Source organism: Homo sapiens, chromosome 9 (genome assembly GCF_000001405.40).
Source record: "Homo sapiens chromosome 9, GRCh38.p14 Primary Assembly".
In the NCBI taxonomy this organism is placed as follows: domain Eukaryota; kingdom Metazoa; phylum Chordata; class Mammalia; order Primates; family Hominidae; genus Homo; species Homo sapiens.
The window spans coordinates 137150731-137170074 of NC_000009.12; the positions used below are offsets into that span (position 1 = coordinate 137150731).

Genomic DNA, 19344 nt, shown 5'->3' on the forward strand with positions numbered 1-19344 from the left:
CGCCCAGGGAAAGCCCCGCCCAGAAAAAAGACCAGCCCAAGGAAAGCCCTGCCCAGAAAAAAGACCGCCCAGGGAAAGCCCCGCCCAGAAAAGACCCGCCCAGGAAAAGCTCTGGCCAGATAAAAGCTCAGCCCAGGGAAAGCCCCGCCCATAAAAAAGCCCCGCCCAGATAAAAGCCCTGCCCAGCGAAAGCCTCGCCCAGGGAAAGCCCCACCCAGAAAAAGACCCGCCCAGGGAAAGCCCAGCCCAGAGAAAAGACCCGCCCAGGGAAAACTCTGCCCAGATAAAAGACCCGCCCAGGGAAAGCCCCGCCCAGAAAAAGTCCCGCCCAGGGAAAGCCCCGCCCAGAAAAAAAACCCGCCCAGGGAAAGCCCCGCCCAGAAAAAAGTCGCGCCCGGGGAAAGCCCTGCCCAGAAAAAGTCCCGCCCAGGGAAAGCCCCGCCCAGGGAAAGACCCGCCCAGAAAAAAGTCCCGCCCAGAAAAAAGTCGCGCCTGGTGAAAGCCCTGCCCAGAAAAAAGACCAGCCCAGGGAAAGCCCCTCCCAGAAAAAAAGACCCGCCCAGGAAAAAGCTCTGGCCAGATAAAAGCTCCGCCCAGGGAAAGCTCCGCCCAGGGAAAGCCCCGCCCAGAAAAAAAGCCCCACCCAGGGAAAGCCCAGCCCAGAAAAAGACCCGCCCAGGGAAAACTCCACCCAGAAAAAAGACCAGCCCAGAGAAAGCCCAACCCAGAAGAAAGCCCCACCCAGGGAAAGCCCCGCCCAGGGAAAGCTTCACCCAGAGAAATTCCCACTTAGAGAAATTCCCACTCAGAGAAAGCCCCACCCAGAAACGTGCCACCCAGGGAAAGCCCCACCCAGTGAAAGCCCCTACCAGAAAAAGCCCCGCCCAGAAAAAGCCCCTCTTAGAGAAAGCCCCGCCAGACTCTCAGAAGTTAATTTCCTTTTTCGTTGTTTTGAGAGGGAGTCTTGCTTTGTCACCCAGGCTGGAGTGCAGTAGTACAATCTCAGCTCACTGCAACCTCTGCCTCCTGGGTTCAAGCGATTCTCCTGCCTCAGCCTCCCGAGTAGCTGGGACTACAGGCACAAGCCACCACACCCGGCTAATTTTTGTATTTTTAGTAGAGACGGGGTTTCACCATGTTGGCCAGACTGGTCTCGAACTTGTGGCCTCTTTTTTTTTTTTTTTTTTTTTCTTTGAGATGGAGTCTCACTCTGTCACCCAGGCTGGAGTGCAGTGGCTCGATCTCGGCTCATTGCAAGCTCCACCTCCCGGGCTCACGCCATTCTCCTGCCTCAGCCTCCCAAGTAGCTGGGACTACAGGCCCCTGCCACCACGCCCTGCTACTTTTTTGTATTTTTAGTAGAGACGGGGTTTCACCATGTCAGCCAGGATGGCCTCAATCTTCTGGCCTCATGATCTGCCCGCCTCGGCCTCCCAAAGTGCTGGGATTACAGGAGTGAGCCACCGTGCCCAGCCACTTGTGGCCTCTTCTGTTATTTTCTGAATTGTTTACACTTCCCTTACTCATCACAGAGCTTGAGAGAAATTCTGTAGCTGTGATGGGATAAAAGGATGGATGGGCAGGTGAACAAATGGACAGACAGCTGGCTGGGAAGTGGAATTTCTTCATCCAAGATGGGTCAACTCAAGGAATCGATTGCCCTAAAACATACCTGTTCCACTGTTGGCCACTTTTGCAATAGACAAGTTCACATCAAGCTAGACCTGCCTGATCCCTACATTCTAACTGGAGTGACCAACAGGACACGGGAGAGAAAACCACATACAAAACCAATCCACAGAACCCCGCCATGCCCAGGTCCCCACAGAGAGGGGAGGGGGCGTTTTCTCCACTTTTTTTTCTCGGCCTGTGAGCCCCTGAGCCGTGCACTGCGGTCCCACAGGTTGACCCCGCGTTGCCAGCCTCAGGGCCAAGGTCACGTTTCCAGACATGGCCCTAAGAAAAAGGCCAGCCCAGGGGAAGGGACATGGTCAGGGCACACAGGAACCACGTGCATACCACACATCCATGCCCATGAGCACACACCACACACCACATGTGTATGCACATACCATACACACGTGCACAAATGCATGTATACACACTATAGTCACACCATGCATACATCTCTACCCACACATGCAGAATCATGTACAGGTCATACACAACACACACGCATGTATGCACATGCCATATACACACCACATGTACCATGCATACACCATACACACATGTGCGCAAATGCATGTACACACACCATCACACCACTCATACATCTCTACTCACACATGCAGAATCATGTACAGGTCATACACAACACATACACGTGCACACATGCCATATACACACCACGTGTACACACATGCACCATGCATACACCACACACACACGTGCACAAATGTATGTACACACACCATAGTCACACCACTCATAGATCTCTACCCACACATGCACCATCATGTACAGGTCACACACAACACATACACATGTGCACACATGCCACATACCACGTGTACACACATGCACCATGCATACACCATACACATGTGCACAAATGTATGTACACACACCATAGTCACACCATGCATCATCTCTACCCACACATGCAGAATTGTGTATAGGTCATACACAACACATACGCATGTATGCACATGCCACATACACACCACATGCTCCATGCATACACACACAAATGTATGTACGCACCATAGTCACACTACACATACATCTCTACCCACACATGCACCATCATGTACAGGTCATACACAACACATACACATGTGCACACATGCCATATACCACATGTGTACACACATGCACCATGCATACACCATACACACGTGCATCTACACATACAGATACAGGCACACACACCACCATATACATCACATACAAAGACATCCACTGATATACGCACACCTACATACATGTACACACAGCACACATGCACATACATCACAACACACATGCGCACCACACACCATGTGCACACCCATACACCCATGCTACATGCACACCATACCCCACACATATGCATACACTGACCACAGCACACATCAACCACACACCCGCCAACATAACTCTTTCTCTTTTTTGGGGAGATAGAGTCTTGCTCTGTTGCCCAGGCTGGAGTGCAGTGGCGTGATCTCAGCTTACTGCAACCTCTGCCCCCTGGGATTCAAGCGATTCTCCTGCCTCAGCCTCCTGAGTAGCAGGAATTACAGGTGTGTGCCACCATGCCCGGCTAATTTTTGTATTTTTAGTAGAGATGAGGTTTCACCATGTTGGCCAGGCTGGTCTTGAACTCCTGACCTCAGGTGATCCGCCTGCCTCAGCCTTCCAAAGTGCTGGCATTACAGGCATGAGCCACCGTGCCTGCCTTTTTTTTTTTCTTTTTTTTTTGTGTGTGTGTGTGAGACAGTCTTGCTCTGTCACCCAGGCTGGAGTACAGTGGCACAATCTTCGCTCACTGCAACCTCGGCCTCCCAGGTTCAAGTGATTCTCGTGCCTCAGCCTCCCGAGTAGCTGGAATTACAGGTGCAGGCCACCATGCCTGGCTAAGTTTTGTATTTTTAGTAGAGACTGGGTTTCGCCATGTTGGCCAGGCTGGTCTCGAACTCCTGGCCTCAAGTGATCCACCCACCTCGGCCTCCCAAAGGGCTGGGATGACAGGCATCAGCCACCACCCCCAGCTCCAACAACTTTTTTTTTTTTTTTTTTTTTTTTTTTTTTTTTTTTTTTAAGATGGAGTCTCACTCTGTCACCCAGGCTGGAGTGCAGTGGCGCGATCTTGGCTCACTGCAACCTCCGCCTCCCAGATTCAACCGATTCTCCTGCCACGGCCTCCCGAGTAGCTGGGATTACAGGCATGCGCCACCACCCCGGCTAATTTTTTTGTTTTTGTAGAGACGGGGTTTCTCCATGTTGGTCAGGCTGGTCTCAAATTCCTGACCTCAGGAGACCTGCCCGCCTCGGCCTCCCAAAGTGCTGGGATTACAGGCATCAGTTACTGCGCCTGGCCTCAAAATACTTCAGAGCAATGGCTCTGGACTGTCAGGGCTGGAAAGGACCCTCCTCTCACATGCTGAGCTCCTTGGAGTGGAGGCCAAAGTCCCACAGCAGAGGCCGACTGGCCCACCCAGCATGCCCATCTCCCAGGAGTGCAGAGAGGCAAGCCCTGGGCAGTGGCAGGCACAGGCCTTCTTGACCCCAGACCTTCAGCCTGTCATATTTTGGCTCCTCCTTAGTGAAGGTTGTTGAGGGTGTTTTGCAGAGAGACATGACGCCAATCTTAATTTTTGACAATTTTCCATAGCATGCAGATAATTTGTTTCCAAAACTTTTCATTTTCCTGAAGTCATCTTGATTGGTATCAGCTATTTCCATAAAACGATCGGATGAGTTTTGATGGACAGATCAGGCTTTTGTTTACAACTGTTTTGCTCCTAATCATTCCACCACATCACATGTCATGGACCTGAATTGCGTCAAGAAGACGGGCTTGTCTGTCAGGCCCTGGTGGGCACTTTGATAGCGGGCATGCTGTGCCATGACACGTGTGGTGTTGGGTCTTGCTGGACAAGCTGTGCTGTGTTCAGTGTGCGGAGCCTCTGCTAGATGCTCTCATTTGGGGCACTGGGCCAGTGCTACTGGGAGCACTTCTGTTTTGTGTCACTGACATCCAATAGCATCGTTATGTAGAGCAAACACCGAAGGGCTGCATTTCTTTGTGGGCTTATTCTCGAGAAAACTGGGGGCAGATCCCTCCTCAAGGAGGGGAGGGCCACCTTGGTTTCCAGTCAAGTATTGTGAAAATTATCCAACACTCAGGCAATCCACCCAACCCTGCTGCCCATGTCTGGAGAAGCAAAGTGTCAGGGGTAGTCCAGGCCCACCTGGAGACAGGTCAGGCCCTGCAGAGAAAGGTCTGACAGACGGGGGTGAGGGAAGACCCCCCAAAGGCCTCCAGAGTCCCACCAGGTCTCCAGGTCCTTGTCATAACCAGAGAGGCCCCAGCCCCAGAGGACCAGGTCCCCTGCTCCACTGTCCACAGGGGCCCACCTGCAAGCACACTGGCAGAGCTCAAGACCACACATGCCTGCAAGGTGAGGCCTGTCTGGGCTCTGTCCTCCTGCAGGCCCCAGGCCTGGGTGGCTGGGCGAAGGCAGCTGCTTATGCAGACTCCAGGGGGAAAGCCGCCTCTCATCTCTGGCCGTCCCCAGGACGCTGGATCCACCAATATCTCACCAACCTGGAGAGCCACTCAACCCCTCATTTCACATGTTTGAACATAGAGGACCAGAGGGGTGTGGCCTGTCTAGGAGGTCTTAGGAGCTCGGGTCCTGACTCTGCCACTTACCAACTCTTGTGTGTCCCATGTGCCTCCGCTTCCCCTCGGGACACAGAGATATTGTGAAAGTTAAACAACATAATCCCCGTAAAACACTTCGAGCAGTGCCTGGTATCTGGCCAGCAAGTGATCAATGGTGATCCATTACCATCCTGGGACCCCATCAGAGCCTTCTGAGGTGGAGGGAAGGGCGTGCTGGGGAGCACAGGTGCAGGTCACAAGAAGGAAGTCAGTCCCATAAGCCAGGTATCTAACCCCATCCCTGCTCCCCCAAGGTAAGGGCCAGCATCTAACCCCACCCCTGCTCCCCCAAGGTAAGGGCCAGCATCTAACCCCATCCCTGCTCCCCCAAGGTAAGGGGGCCAGCATCTAACCCCATCCCTGCTCCCCCAAGGTAAGAGCCAGCAACGGAGGCCTGGGAGGCTCCTGGGTTCTGGGCCGCAGCGCCTCTGCGAGGTCTGCAGGCTTCGCTCTAGGAGGGGATGGGGGCTGGGCAGGTCCCTGCTCCAGAGGAGGAGGACCTGGGCCTGCGGAGCGCCGCGGTGGGAGTGCTGGAGTCCTGGCCCGTCATCCCCGTCTGCCCCACAGCGAGGACGATGCTGCCACTGTATACCGCGCAGCCGCGATGCTGAACATGACGGGCTCCGGGTACGTGTGGCTGGTCGGCGAGCGCGAGATCTCGGGGAACGCCCTGCGCTACGCCCCAGACGGTGAGTGCTGGGCCTTGGCGGGGTCCCCGAACGGGGAGGACCCCACGGGCTCTGAGTCGCATGCTCGCCTAGGCATCCTCGGGCTGCAGCTCATCAACGGCAAGAACGAGTCGGCCCACATCAGCGACGCCGTGGGCGTGGTGGCCCAGGCCGTGCACGAGCTCCTCGAGAAGGAGAACATCACCGACCCGCCGCGGGGCTGCGTGGGCAACACCAACATCTGGAAGACCGGGCCGCTCTTCAAGAGGTGGGCGGGGCCTCCCCGGAGCTGGGCGGGGCTGCTCTTGGGGAGGTGGGCGGGGTCACTCCAGAGATGGGCGGGGCCGCTCTTGGGGAGGTGGGCGGGGCCACTCTCCAGAGCTGGGCGGAGCAGCTCTCAGGACTAGGCGGGGCCGCTCTTAGGGAGCTGGGGGAGCGCTCCTCAAGAGATGGGTGGGGGCACTCTCGGGGAGGTGGGCGGGGTCGCTTCCAGGAGGTGGGCGGCGTCGCTCTCAGGGGTACTGCAGTGGAGCCTGCTGCCAACATCCTCTGGACACTGTTACTTCTCTCCTCTCCCCCCACACCCCCAGCACCACCACATCTAATGGCACAATCATCTGCCCTCTTCTCAACACTGACACCAGTACCTGGGCCGTCACTGGAGTGGGGACTGGCTCCACTGCCTCCGCCCCTACTTTCCACACTGCAGCCCACCCTGAAACAGCACCCCTCTCCCTGTGTGGCTGGCAGCCTTTGGGAGGAGGCTCTTGATGCAGATGGGGACTGAAAGCTTCCAGGGACCCAGGAGGCCAGACAAGCAGCCCAAGAACAGCACACGAGCCTTAGACAGCCAGGGTTGGCCAAGGCCCAGAGACCCAAGTGAACATCTGCAGTGTGGCAGGAGTTAGCTCACAGCACGCCTGGACACCATGCCATGCCAGCTCACCCCCAGATCCCCAACCACTGAGTAGCACGTGCAGAGCCACCATCCACAACGCCCACATAAGTGCAGATGTAGGCAGCACGTGTGCACACACACGACACACATACACAGAACCATGTGTGCACACAGACTCAGGCACATGACACACATGTGACACAAGCACATGCATGGGGTGCACCCCACATAGGGATCACGTGTGCACACAGGTTCACTGATGTGGCCCGATGGGTACAATGCACACGTGCACACACAGCCGGACAGGACAGCCTGGTGGTTAGAGCTGGCTCAACCTCGCCTTCACTTGCTGGCAAGAGGGCAGGCATCCTTCTGAGCTTCTGCCTCCGTCTCTGTAAGGCAGGATGGTTCTGAGGACAACGTCCTAACCCACAGAAAGCCGGGTCTGGCACCCATAAACCACTCAGCTGTCATGAACCACACCGTCCATCTGGTGCAGGCAGATACCACGGTGTCCAGGGTCTGGCGTCTGCTGATCTTTCCGTTCTTGGGACTGGGACAAGGGAAAAGCCCAAGCTGCTCAGCCGGCAGGAGAAGGAGCAGGGAGAAGGAGCAGGGGGAAGGAGCAGGGAGAAGCAGCAGGGGGAAGGAGCAGGGAGGAGCAGGAGAAGGAGCATCTCTGAGAAGCCTCAGCTATGCTTCCTTCCCTAGAGTGCTGATGTCTTCCAAGTATGCGGATGGGGTGACTGGTCGCGTGGAGTTCAATGAGGATGGGGACCGGAAGTTCGCCAACTACAGCATCATGAACCTGCAGAACCGCAAGCTGGTGCAAGTGGGCATCTACAATGGCACCCACGTAGGTGGGGGTCATGAGGGGGTGGGGGCTGGGGCCTTAGGGTCCTGGGGCCAAGACCCCTGCGTGGCCACCCTCCATCTCATACTCCCACCCCCAGGTCATCCCTAATGACAGGAAGATCATCTGGCCAGGCGGAGAGACAGAGAAGCCTCGAGGGTACCAGATGTCCACCAGACTGAAGGTGGGGGCCCCACAGACCTCCCTCAGTGTCCCCACCCCAGACAGCCCATCCACCCCCTCTGGCCTGAAGGAGGAGGGTGCGGTGAGGTCAATGAAAGCCACTAAAGGAAGTGGGGGTGGGGCCTGCTTCCCCTGGACACCGTCCAGCACACCTGGCACAGCACAGGAAGCAGAGAGAACAGGAGGGAGGAGAGGAAGCTGCCCCCATCCCACAGGGGGTCTCCAGTGCCCCTCTTGACCCAGCCCTACTTAAGTCTGGGGCAGTTAGTTGTCTGACAGGACCCTGCTGGGGAAGAGCAGATGGGGGACAGCAGGCAGACCTCAGCTTCAGCACTCGCTGTCCCCAGTCCTGGTCCTCCACACCCCTCATCCCTCCTCCAGCCTGCATTGCTCTTGATGGGACCGGGTCAAACTGTCCTCTTCCACCGTGTGGGACAGCCCTTCCTGACTCCCCTGGGCCTCTGAGAGCCTCTGCCCTCGCCGGCTTCCTCCTCCAGAACATCTTTCCCTTGGCTCCCTACTCCAGGGTGCTCTCCTGGCCATTCCTCCCCGGGCAGAGCCACACTACCCCCACTCCACACACACTCCAGTCCTGGTAGCATCACAGACCACCAAAGGCAAGGACCTCACAGGCGACACGCCCACCAACCTTCTCTCGGTCATTCCAAGCCCTCAAATGTCTCTTGACCCTGTCTGTTTTCTGAGCCCACCCCTGAAGCTTGGTGTCAGCCCCTGTGACCTCTCACCCAGGCTCCCTCCCCTGCTCTGCACCGGCCCCTGTGGCCTCTCACCCAAGCTCCCTTCCCTGCTCTGCAGACAGGGTGGGGTTTTCCAGTGCCAGTGTGGGTTTCATTGCAGCCCAGACACCTCACACTGAAAAGTCTGAAAGCAGCGGTCAAACGCTAATGGCCAAAAGGCCCCATCTAGGCTGTGAGATGGAGATGGCTTTTTACAAATTTGTTTCTGGCCTCACTAATTTTTTAAAAATACTAGCATATATATTACCTGTATAACAGGAAAATGTAATGAAAGTTTTATAAAGCAAATCAACTTCTTCAATGGCTCCTGATTCCCCTGGGGATAAAAGACAAAATGCTGCCTGGAGGCTGAGGGTGGGCGGGCCTGCCCCCCTCTCAGGCTCACCCTGCCTAGGACATGCCGGGAGGGTGCCTCTCCCACCACCCCCACGCCTCCCTGCCTTTGCAGTTCTGGACTGCAGACTCCTCTGCTCCACCTGCCCTCAGGCACCTGCTTGATCCCTGCCCACCTTGAGGGCTCAGCTCTGACACCATCTCCCCTCACAGTTCTGGCAGTGTGCTATGCTCTATTCCAGCCCCCTGTGCCCCAGATCCCTTCCCCACCCCCATGCCATGGTCCCTTGAAGGACAGACAGGAGGGCGAGCCCAAGCAGGAGTGTGGGTCGAAGAGGCCACGGCGCGGTGGAGCACGTACACACGGGCAAGAGAAAGGAGCCAGAGACCTACATTCAAAGCCTGAGGGCTTCGGGACTGGGGGCCGGGACAGGCAGTGCGCCGGGATGAAGGGAGGCACGGGTGGGTGGCCCCACGGGTCCCAGGTCCTGTGCAGGTGCAGGGTCGGCTTTGTGGACATGCCCCTGTCCTCGTGGCACAGCAGGGTGGGGGTCAGCCTGCAGGCTGGGCTGTTTCTCACCCCAGGAAGATGCCTGGCATACACGGGACATCAGCGGCTCCTCTGCTGGAGGGAATCATGTCTTTTTTTTTTTGAGACAGAGTCTCGCTCTGTCGCCCAGGCTGGAGTGCAGTGGCGCGGTCTCCGCTCACTGCAAGCTCCGCCTCCCGGGTTCACGCCATTCTCCTGCCTCAGCCTCCTGAGTAGCTGGGACTACAGGTGCCCACCACCACGCCCGGCTAATTTTTTTGTATTTTCAGTAGAGACGGGGTTTCACCGTGTTAGCCAGGATGGTCTCGATCTCCTGACCTCGTGATCCGGCCGCCTCGGCCTCCCAAAGTGCTGGGATTACAGGCGTGAGCCACAGCACCTGGCGGGGAATCATGTCTAAGCCAAGACTGGAGAAAAAGTGGCCAAGAGAAGGGTCCAGCTCTCCAGGAGTCTTTTCTGAGCCCCCAGCCCCCACCCCCCCGGGGCTGCAGGCAGACGATGCTGACGGTGGCTGGGGAGGACGTGTCCTGAACACTTGGGCTCGTGAAGAAGCTCCAGAGAGGGGCAGTGGCCGGCGGCGCAGGGCGGGGGGTGTGAGGGGTGCGTCGGGGATTAAGAGGGGCGCCAGGGGAGGCTGGGAGCTGAGAAGAGACTGCCGCCCTGGGCAGCCTTAGGTCGGTGGTCCAGGCTGGGTCTCCCCTTCCCCCCCAGATTGTGACGATCCACCAGGAGCCCTTCGTGTACGTCAAGCCCACGCTGAGTGATGGGACATGCAAGGAGGAGTTCACAGTCAACGGCGACCCAGTCAAGAAGGTGATCTGCACCGGGCCCAACGACACGTCGCCGGGCAGCCGTGAGTGCGCGGGGCAGGGCGCGGGGCGCGGGGCAGGGCGCGGGGCGTGGGGCGGTCTGGAGCCCAGCAGTTACCGCCCGCACCTACCCAGCCCGCCACACGGTGCCTCAGTGTTGCTACGGCTTTTGCATCGACCTGCTCATCAAGCTGGCACGGACCATGAACTTCACCTACGAGGTGCACCTGGTGGCAGATGGCAAGTTCGGCACACAGGAGCGGGTAGGCTGGACGGCGGGGGTGGGGACCAGCGTGAGAGGGGCCTGCAGGCGCGGTCGGAGTGGGTGGGGCATGGAGTAGGCGGGGCTTGCAGATGGTGGGGGGTCCTGGGGTGAGTGGGGCATGGAGTGAGCGGAGCCTGCGGGCTGGGTCCTGGCGTGGGTAAAGCATGGGGTGGGCGGGGCCTGAGGGCTGGGTGGGGCCTGACATGGGAGGGGCCTGACGTGGGGGTCGGAGTGGGTGGGGCACGGAGTGGGCAGGGCCTGCAGGCGGGGGTCTGGAGTGGGCGGGACGTGGAGTGGGCGGGGCCTGCTGGCTGTGGTGGGGCCCGCCCGGCGTGGGAGGGGTCTGCGAGCCAGGGCGGGGCTGGAGTGGGGTGGGGCCTGCGAGCTGGGTAGGGTCTTGGGGAGAAGACCCCCGGAGTGCTCTAGGGCGGCTTCAGTCGGGGGTACCTGTGGCGGGAGCTGGGAGGACGCTGCCTGCATGCCCGCCGGCTCTGTCGCCTCGCAGGTGAACAACAGCAACAAGAAGGAGTGGAATGGGATGATGGGCGAGCTGCTCAGCGGGCAGGCAGACATGATCGTGGCGCCGCTAACCATAAACAACGAGCGCGCGCAGTACATCGAGTTTTCCAAGCCCTTCAAGTACCAGGGCCTGACTATTCTGGTCAAGAAGGTGGGCAGGGGCCGGGTGGCGGGGTGGCGGCGGGGGGAGTCCCTGGAGGGCCCGGGCCGCGCTGACCTCGCGTCCCTCCGCAGGAGATTCCCCGGAGCACGCTGGACTCGTTCATGCAGCCGTTCCAGAGCACACTGTGGCTGCTGGTGGGGCTGTCGGTGCACGTGGTGGCCGTGATGCTGTACCTGCTGGACCGCTTCAGGTGAGCGCGACCCGGGGCTCAGACACCTCCATCTGCGGGGCGCGGAGCCGGCCAGGGGCGGGGCAGGGCCGCCTCTCCCGCCCTCTCTCCCGCCCGCCCTCTGCGCCCCGCAGCCCCTTCGGCCGGTTCAAGGTGAACAGCGAGGAGGAGGAGGAGGACGCACTGACCCTGTCCTCGGCCATGTGGTTCTCCTGGGGCGTCCTGCTCAACTCCGGCATCGGGGAAGGTAAGGCCCCGCCCGGCCCGCCTGGTCCCGCCTCGGCCCTCTAGGGTCTGACAGAGCCCCCCGCCCGCCCACAGGCGCCCCCAGAAGCTTCTCAGCGCGCATCCTGGGCATGGTGTGGGCCGGCTTTGCCATGATCATCGTGGCCTCCTACACCGCCAACCTGGCGGCCTTCCTGGTGCTGGACCGGCCGGAGGAGCGCATCACGGGCATCAACGACCCTCGGGTGAGGCCTGGCCGGGCTGGGGGAGGGAATGCGAGGTGAGCTGGGGTCGGCCTCGGTTAGGGGCCTGGGGAGCCGCCGCCGCGATCCCTGCCCTCCGACCCTGCAGCTGAGGAACCCCTCGGACAAGTTTATCTACGCCACGGTGAAGCAGAGCTCCGTGGATATCTACTTCCGGCGCCAGGTGGAGCTGAGCACCATGTACCGGCATATGGAGAAGCACAACTACGAGAGTGCGGCGGAGGCCATCCAGGCCGTGAGAGACAAGTGAGGCGCGGGCGGCCACCCTGGCGGGGCGGGACAGGTGCGGGGAGGGGGAGGGTGGCCTCCACCGGGCAGGAGAGCGTCCGGGCCGGGCACCCCGGAGGGCGCGGGCGTGGGGCTTCCAGGCTGGCAGGACCAAGGCCCCCGTGACTCCGCCTCTGCCGGCAGCAAGCTGCATGCCTTCATCTGGGACTCGGCGGTGCTGGAGTTCGAGGCCTCGCAGAAGTGCGACCTGGTGACGACTGGAGAGCTGTTTTTCCGCTCGGGCTTCGGCATAGGCATGCGCAAAGACAGCCCCTGGAAGCAGAACGTCTCCCTGTCCATCCTCAAGTGAGTGTCCGTGCGCCCGCGTCCCTCCTCCGCCCCTCTCCGCCAGAGGTGGACGCCCTCCCCAGTGCCAGACCACTCCGAGGCCACCACTGATTTCCCACCCAGGCCGGGCGCTGCCCACTCCACGCCGCACCCTACCCCGCAGGCCCCGCCCCGGCCCCGCCCCCAGCTTGCTCCTTCCCGTCCTGGGCCCCGCCTCACTGCAGGCTCACTTGTTCCCACCGCCAGGTCCCACGAGAATGGCTTCATGGAAGACCTGGACAAGACGTGGGTTCGGTATCAGGAATGTGACTCGCGCAGCAACGCCCCTGCGACCCTTACTTTTGAGAACATGGCCGGTGCGTTCTCCTTCATCCATTCTCGGGTGGGTTCTCCGTGGGCTGCGGCCTCCCTGGCCAGCAACTGAGGCTCTGGGTCCCGGCACACAGGGGTCTTCATGCTGGTAGCTGGGGGCATCGTGGCCGGGATCTTCCTGATTTTCATCGAGATTGCCTACAAGCGGCACAAGGATGCTCGCCGGAAGCAGATGCAGCTGGCCTTTGCCGCCGTTAACGTGTGGCGGAAGAACCTGCAGGTAGGGCAGGCCACCCTCCGAGGCCTGGTGCCCAGGGCCCGGCCTGGCCACGGCCCTCCTCCATCCCCGAAGGCCGTGGCACTGGCTCTGGCTCTGGTGGGCAGGACTGGAGCTAGGAGCCATGGCCAGGGGCAGTGGTGAGTGCTCCCAGGGCACGGGGGCAGCACCGGTGGGGGGCTGCCTGCAGGTGGCTGCCCACTGCAAAGCCGGGGCCGAGGGAGGCCACGCACCCTGCTCCAAGCCTCCGCCTGGCCCCTCTGTCTCCAGAGTCGCCCGCCGGTACCCATTCCATAGGAAGGCAATCAGGCAGGGTAAGACAGGGGCCCGCCTGTGTATGGCACGTGAGTCCAAGATGCATTTTGCCCTCCGCCGACCCAAGCCCCTTGACACCCTTCGGAGACCCCCCCCTTTCCTGCTATGTCCTTGTGCTCCGTGACTCTAATCCGAATTGGGCCAGGTCCGGTCCTGCCTGGTGCCCAGGTTGTATCCATGAGAATTTGCCACCAGCAAGGGCAGCCACGGCCCACCTGGGACAGGGTGGGCAGTGGGCCTGTACAGGCCTAAGGGCTCGTGGCCCGCGGTCGAGTTCCGGTTCACTCCGTCTCTTCTCTTTCTCTGGGTGCCGTCCTGGAGCCTGTGTCCTGAGATGAAGCCGACAGTGCGGCCAGGGCTGCTGGGGGATGGGGGTTGCTGGAGGCTCCACACCTCTCATCCGCCCGCTCTTGCTCTTGGCCCCCACAGGTCCCCTGGGGACCTGGCCGCTGCCAGCACTGGCGGGCACAGGCCACCTGGCCATCAGACCTGAGGCCAGAGTCCCGGGAGCTGCCTCTGTCACTCCAATTCCACCTCGACACCTGCCTCCAGCCCTCGGCCCCTTCCTGAATCTTGGTGTGTGCCCCTTGGGGGTCAGTGGCCTCCACGCAGACAGCTGGTGTGGCCTGAGGGGCAACTCCTCCAGTCCTCAGAGGACTCCTCCTCCTCGGGACGCCTGTAAGCCAGGGCCACCCAGGAGCCAGGGAGCCAGGCGGACCTCCCAGGAAGAGCCAGCCGAGAGCCCCCAAGCCCAGCCCCAGCACGAGCAAGGTCAGGCCCGAGACCCCGGGCAGGAGAAGAGGCCACCCTCGAACGTCCGCTGTCGGCCCGTCTGTCCAGCACAGGGAGGCAGGCAGGAGCGAGGGCCCAAGTGGCCGGCCAGGCTGGGCAGCGGCCCATGCAGGAGCAGGCGAGGGCAGGTGTGGCCACCACCCTAGCCATCTAATCACTTATACATATTCATTTTAGGATAGAAAGAGTGGTAGAGCAGAGCCTGACCCTAAAAAGAAAGCCACATTTAGGGCTATCACCTCCACCCTGGCTTCCAGCTTCAAGAGGCGTAGGTCCTCCAAAGACACGGTAAGGGGGAGAGCACCCCAGTCCCGCGTCCGACTCCACCTGCCCTGCCCTGCGTGTGTCTCCCGCCCCATCACCCCGCCCCGGACCCTGGGCTCCTGTGGCCCACTCTGCCCCTGTCTCCCTGTGGCGGCCGCTCTGCCCAGCCCGCCCATGCTGCTCTCTCTCACTCTCTGGACCTTTCTCCCCGGCCCTCCTGGGTCCTCGGCTTTCCCCGTGTGTCTCCGTTAGTCTGCCCGCCCACCTCCCCTGCCATGACCCACACGCCATCTTGAAGCCTGTCATCTCGTTGGTCAGTCAGTCAGCCACACCACCTCTCGGGGCCAGGTCTGGGGCCCTGGGAGCCCAGCGTGGCCCCATCCTGGACTCCTCAGCTGCCGGGAGGCCACACCACTTCTCTGTTATGTCCCCGTTTCTCTCGCCTCTCCCAGAGGGGCCCGCCGCCCTCACTTCGCCCCTGCGACGGCCCTGGAGGGGGTGGCTGTGATGTCCCATCCCGTCCGTCTGTCTGGCCACTGGCCCCGCCCCCCAGACACCTGTCTCACCTGTCTCACCAGAGCCATGCGTGTTGCATCTTCATGTGGTCTCTGTGTGGGCCGGGGGCTGGGGGCCGGGCCTGGGTCCGTCTGGGTGGACGGCTGGGGCCTGGAGTTGGAACTGGCCCCGGCCACAGGGGACTGTCAGGCAGGGAGTGGGGTGGGACCAAAAGGGGTGGCTCCCACCCCAGGCTGAGCGGGGGCCCTGCAGGAGGTGTGGCGGCAGCTCCCAGAGGGTCTGAGAATGGGTAGGGGCGGCCCCACAAGCCCTGGCCTGCAGAGCCCAGGACGACACTGAGGTTCCCAGACAGGGAGGCCTCTGGAAGGGAAACGACCACCTCAGCTCCTGACCCCAGCAACCCCACAAGGCCCACCCCAAAGAGCCAGGCCTTCTGCCCTTTGGAGCCCAGAATCCCCCACCTCCTGCTCGGGGCAGCTTGTCCCTGTAGCGGATATGCACACTCGGACCAGAGGCCCCCAGAGCGAACCCAGCCTTGCTAGAGGCACCCCAGGCCCAGGCACCATGGTGGGGAGGGGCTGCCCAGAGAGGCAGCGGAGACCTCAGCCCCGTGGCCACCCTGCAGTCCAGGGACCAGTCTGGCCCACAGGAAGCCCCCAGCCCATAAGCAGCATCACCAGAGAGAAGCTTACGCCCGGGGGAGGAAGTGCGATTTGCAGCCACCTGCCCCTCAGTGCACTGGAAGCGGGGCAGACCTCCAGGGCACAGACAGGACTTGGCATCAAGCAAGCCAAATCCCGAGATGAAGCCACCAGGGTGCCCCAAGAGGGACCCATGAGGCCTGGCTGCTCAGCTTCCTGGGGAAGGGACTTGGCATGCAGGATGGGTGGACAGTGAGAGCCTGTAGGCCTGGGGGCCACTGGAGGCTCAAGGAGCAGGTGGAAGCACCATTCCTGGAGCCACCTCTGCTGCGGAAAGCGGGCAGAGCTGATGCTGCAAAGTCTGAGCCAGGAGTCCCGCAGGGAACAGGGAGGGGGAATAGCGCAGGGATCGTGGGCTGGGCAGGCTGGGGAAGAGGGGGTGTCCAGGCAGACAGGAGAAACAGCGATTTGGGGCAGGCAGCCACGGGGGGCAAGCACAAATGTCGTGCAGGTGATGGGCCACTTTCAGAGGGTGACACTGGGTCCCAGGGCCCTGCCTGGAGCGAGGCCAGGTGCAGCTCAGAGACCCTCATGGTGCCCTCCCAGGGACATGTTCCCAGCGGAACCCTCACCCGAGCCTCTCTGGGCACCAGGGACCGTCCTCTGGGGCCAGTTCTGGCATCACGTGGCATCTGGGGCTGGCCCCGCCCTGCAAGGCTGAACTGTGGGGGGCACTGCCAGCTGGGGGTCTGGGCAGGGGAGGGCAGCCCAGCTCCCACCTGGTCTCTGGGGCTGCGAGCTTATTCAGAGGGAGGCGTGGGTGGGGGGCTCCTTTGGGTAGGGTGGGGTCAGTCCGGCTGCGGAGATCCCCTGCCCCTGTCCTGTGGCCGGTCCGGGCCAGGGCGGCACTGGGCGCTGAGGGCTGGGGTCCCTGGCGGCCGGCGGGGCCAGCGGGTATTGATTGTTGGTTCTTATTTATAGAGCACCGGGGGTGGACGCGGCGCTTTGCAAAACCAAAAAGACACAGTGCTGCCGCGACGCGCTATTGAGAGGGAGGAGGGCCAGCTGCAGCTGTGTTCCCGTCATAGGGAGAGCTGAGACTCCCCGCCCGCCCTCCTCTGCCCCCTCCCCCGCAGACAGACAGACAGACGGACGGGACAGCGGCCCGGCCCACGCAGAGCCCCGGAGCACCACGGGGTCGGGGGAGGAGCACCCCCAGCCTCCCCCAGGCTGCGCCTGCCCGCCCGCCGGTTGGCCGGCTGGCCGGTCCACCCCGTCCCGGCCCCGCGCGTGCCCCCAGCGTGGGGCTAACGGGCGCCTTGTCTGTGTATTTCTATTTTGCAGCAGTACCATCCCACTGATATCACGGGCCCGCTCAACCTCTCAGATCCCTCGGTCAGCACCGTGGTGTGAGGCCCCCGGAGGCGCCCACCTGCCCAGTTAGCCCGGCCAAGGACACTGATGGGTCCTGCTGCTCGGGAAGGCCTGAGGGAAGCCCACCCGCCCCAGAGACTGCCCACCCTGGGCCTCCCGTCCGTCCGCCCGCCCACCCCGCTGCCTGGCGGGCAGCCCCTGCTGGACCAAGGTGCGGACCGGAGCGGCTGAGGACGGGGCAGAGCTGAGTCGGCTGGGCAGGGCCGCAGGGCGCTCCGGCAGAGGCAGGGCCCTGGGGTCTCTGAGCAGTGGGGAGCGGGGGCTAACTGGCCCCAGGCGGAGGGGCTTGGAGCAGAGACGGCAGCCCCATCCTTCCCGCAGCACCAGCCTGAGCCACAGTGGGGCCCATGGCCCCAGCTGGCTGGGTCGCCCCTCCTCGGGCGCCTGCGCTCCTCTGCAGCCTGAGCTCCACCCTCCCCTCTTCTTGCGGCACCGCCCACCCACACCCCGTCTGCCCCTTGACCCCACACGCCGGGGCTGGCCCTGCCCTCCCCCACGGCCGTCCCTGACTTCCCAGCTGGCAGCGCCTCCCGCCGCCTCGGGCCGCCTCCTCCAGACTCGAGAGGGCTGAGCCCCTCCTCTCCTCGTCCGGCCTGCAGCCCAGAACGGGCCTCCCCGGGGGTCCCCGGACGCTGGCTCGGGACTGTCTTCAACCCTGCCCTGCACCTTGGGCACGGGAGAGCGCCACCCGCCCGCCCCCGCCCTCGCTCCGGGTGCGTGACCGGCCCGCCACCTTGTACAGAACCAGCACTCCCAGGGCCCGAGCGCGTGCCTTCCCCGTGCGGCCCGTGCGCAGCCGCGCTCTGCCCCTCCGTCCCCAGGGTGCAGGCGCGCACCGCCCAACCCCCACCTCCCGGTGTATGCAGTGGTGATGCCTAAAGGAATGTCACGCAGTTTTCGGTCTGTGTCGCTTGTTGACGCCGGCAGACAGTGTAAAGGGAGGGCAAAGGCATGGGGGAAGCTTCGAGCGCTCCAGGCGGCCGCGGCCGCTCAGGCTTGGGCGGCAGCGGCGGGGCTCCCCGGGTCCGCGGGCGAGGCACAGCCGTGGGGGTCGGGATCGGGGTTCGGGTCTGGCGGTCTCGGCGGGCGGAGGGCGGCGGTGCGGAGGCGGCGGCGGCGCGCACGGCAGGCGGTGAGCCCAGAGCCCAGCGCCAGGCAGGAAGCCAGGCTGACGAGGAAGGAGGCCGGCCCGAGCGTGTAAACCACGGCCAGGTCCCGCAGGGCGAGCGGCTGCGCGCAATGGCTAAAGGCGGCGTCGGAAAAGGCAGTCAGGGGGCTGAGCGTCAGGCGTCCCGGCCACACGCAGAGCACCGTCTCGGCCTCTGTGGGACACAGACAAAGGCGCGGCGTCAGGTGGCGGCTGCCGCACCGCCCTGCAGACCCCGACCCGCGTCCCCAGCAGCTCACCTGACGCGGGCAGCGGGTGCCGGCGCAGCCAGGCGCAGAGCGGGCGCAGCGCGCACCCGCAGCCCCAAGGGTTGCCGCGCAGGTGCAGCGCGTCTAGAGCGGGCAGGCGGCCCAGCAGCCCCGGCGCGAGTGCCGCCAGCTCGTTGTCCTGCAGGCTGAGTGAGCGCAGCAGCGGGAGCGCGCCTAGCGCCGCGGGCTCCAGGCGCGCCAGCCGGTTGCCGGCCAATGAGAGGTTGCGCAGCGCGCGCAGCGGCGCGAAAGTCCCTGGTGCCAGTGCTTCCAGCTGGTTGGCGCTCAGGTCCAGCAGCTGCAGCGCGCCCAGGCCCCAGAAGGCTCGCACATGCACCGAGTGCAGCCCGTTCTCGCGCAGGTCCAGGCGCTGTAGCGCGCCCGCTCCCGCGAAGGCACCTGGCGGCAGCGCACGGACGCGGTTGTGGTCCAGCAGCAGCGCGCGCAGGCGCAGGCTCAGGCCCGGGGGCACGGCGGGCAGCGAGAGTGCCGAGCAGCTGGCCAGGCCTCCCGGCACGCACGTGCACACCTCGGGGCAGTCCGGGGCGCCCAGGGACCCCGAGGGCGAGGCCGTGGCCGACACCTGGGCCCAGACAGGCCAAGGCGACAGCAGCAGCAACAGCAGCAGCAGCGGCCGAGGCCGCGACCAGGAAGGGCCCCGCATGGGGGCAGCCCCCCCGCCCCCGGCACCCGCGGTGGGAGGCCCGCTGCCTGTGCGTCCCTGGAGCCCGTCGTCCGCGGAGCCCGTTCCTGCGGCGCCTGCACAAATATTAACTCTCTGGCCCGAGCTCAGGC

The 19344-nt window shown here is 62.6% G+C and overlaps 2 protein-coding genes, 1 long non-coding RNA gene and 1 other non-coding gene across 15 annotated transcripts in view, besides 7 other annotated features; 1 reads left to right on the top strand and 3 right to left on the bottom strand.

The window, feature by feature from the left end:
• GRIN1 (glutamate ionotropic receptor NMDA type subunit 1) overlaps positions 1-18026 on the top strand; it is a 29603-nt gene extending 11577 nt beyond the window's left edge. For 2 of the 9 annotated variants that reach the window (NM_001437330.1, NM_007327.4), the window contains 16 exons: positions 5939-6060; positions 6133-6307; positions 7649-7793; positions 7891-7974; positions 10326-10467; positions 10559-10686; positions 11194-11358; positions 11442-11560; positions 11674-11786; positions 11861-12009; positions 12116-12273; positions 12439-12600; positions 12829-12938; positions 13029-13174; positions 14456-14566; positions 16681-18026. In NM_001437330.1, coding sequence (NP_001424259.1) covers positions 5939-6060; positions 6133-6307; positions 7649-7793; positions 7891-7974; positions 10326-10467; positions 10559-10686; positions 11194-11358; positions 11442-11560; positions 11674-11786; positions 11861-12009; positions 12116-12273; positions 12439-12600; positions 12829-12938; positions 13029-13174; positions 14456-14566; positions 16681-16797 — 2146 coding nt within the window. In that variant the 3' untranslated portion in view covers positions 16798-18026. Of the gene's footprint in view, positions 1-5938; positions 6061-6132; positions 6308-7648; positions 7794-7890; positions 7975-10325; positions 10468-10558; positions 10687-11193; positions 11359-11441; positions 11561-11673; positions 11787-11860; positions 12010-12115; positions 12274-12438; positions 12601-12828; positions 12939-13028; positions 13175-13441; positions 14567-16680 lie in introns of those variants that run through there. The other 7 variants (NM_001185090.2, XM_005266071.4, NM_001437331.1 and 4 more) reach the window with 4 other exon arrangements.
• Positions 701-1020: an enhancer, noted in NCBI's record as "active region_29346". NCBI's record gives its function as "activates an Ori minimal core promoter by ATAC-STARR-seq in GM12878 lymphoblastoid cells {active_cell/tissue: GM12878}" and the evidence as "EXISTENCE:reporter gene assay evidence [ECO:0000049][PMID:35858748]".
• Positions 4292-10330, bottom strand: LOC105376328 (uncharacterized). Of its 4 annotated transcripts, none has more exons than XR_007061876.1 (3): positions 9458-10330; positions 8979-9047; positions 4292-8256 (listed from the first exon to the last, which is right to left on the bottom strand). It is a non-coding gene; the product is annotated as an uncharacterized LOC105376328 (long non-coding RNA). The 4 variants fall into 4 exon arrangements; XR_007061877.1 differs by having other exon boundaries at positions 4292-8259; XR_007061878.1 differs by having other exon boundaries at positions 4292-8259; positions 9454-10330.
• Positions 12057-12556: an enhancer, noted in NCBI's record as "H3K4me1 hESC enhancer chr9:140057239-140057738 (GRCh37/hg19 assembly coordinates)". NCBI's record gives its function as "activates a minimal SCP1, AML or CMV promoter by ChIP-STARR-seq in naive H9 embryonic stem cells {active_cell/tissue: H9 hESC(naive)}" and the evidence as "EXISTENCE:reporter gene assay evidence [ECO:0000049][PMID:30033119]".
• Positions 16960-17824: an enhancer, noted in NCBI's record as "H3K27ac-H3K4me1 hESC enhancer chr9:140062142-140063006 (GRCh37/hg19 assembly coordinates)". NCBI's record gives its function as "activates a minimal SCP1, AML or CMV promoter by ChIP-STARR-seq in primed H9 embryonic stem cells {active_cell/tissue: H9 hESC(primed)}" and the evidence as "EXISTENCE:reporter gene assay evidence [ECO:0000049][PMID:30033119]".
• Positions 17594-17713: a silencer, noted in NCBI's record as "silent region_20584". NCBI's record gives its function as "represses an Ori minimal core promoter by ATAC-STARR-seq in GM12878 lymphoblastoid cells {active_cell/tissue: GM12878}" and the evidence as "EXISTENCE:reporter gene assay evidence [ECO:0000049][PMID:35858748]".
• Positions 17944-18053: a silencer, noted in NCBI's record as "silent region_20585". NCBI's record gives its function as "represses an Ori minimal core promoter by ATAC-STARR-seq in GM12878 lymphoblastoid cells {active_cell/tissue: GM12878}" and the evidence as "EXISTENCE:reporter gene assay evidence [ECO:0000049][PMID:35858748]".
• Positions 18028-19321, bottom strand: LRRC26 (leucine rich repeat containing 26). The gene is made up of 2 exons (NM_001013653.3): positions 18541-19321; positions 18028-18455 (listed from the first exon to the last, which is right to left on the bottom strand). The coding sequence occupies exons 1-2, from the start codon at positions 19211-19213 to the stop codon at positions 18124-18126; spliced, it is 1005 nt and encodes a 334-aa protein (NP_001013675.1). The 5' UTR covers positions 19214-19321; the 3' UTR covers positions 18028-18123.
• Positions 18294-18813: a silencer, noted in NCBI's record as "silent region_20586". NCBI's record gives its function as "represses an Ori minimal core promoter by ATAC-STARR-seq in GM12878 lymphoblastoid cells {active_cell/tissue: GM12878}" and the evidence as "EXISTENCE:reporter gene assay evidence [ECO:0000049][PMID:35858748]".
• On the bottom strand, positions 18456-18540 carry MIR3621 (microRNA 3621). Its single transcript, NR_037416.1, has one exon. It is a non-coding gene; the product is annotated as a microRNA 3621 (primary transcript).
• Positions 18974-19033: a silencer, noted in NCBI's record as "silent region_20587". NCBI's record gives its function as "represses an Ori minimal core promoter by ATAC-STARR-seq in GM12878 lymphoblastoid cells {active_cell/tissue: GM12878}" and the evidence as "EXISTENCE:reporter gene assay evidence [ECO:0000049][PMID:35858748]".

Bases quoted from the DNA above. Each gene is read 5' to 3' on its own strand.
- LRRC26 (NM_001013653.3), bottom strand. From the start codon at position 19,213: ATGCGGGGCCCTTCCTGGTCGCGGCCTCGGCCGCTGCTGCTGCTGTTG. The intron at 18,456-18,540 runs GTGAGCTGCTGG...TGTGTCCCACAG, and splicing joins GCACCCGCTGCCCGCGTCAG to AGGCCGAGACGGTGCTCTGC.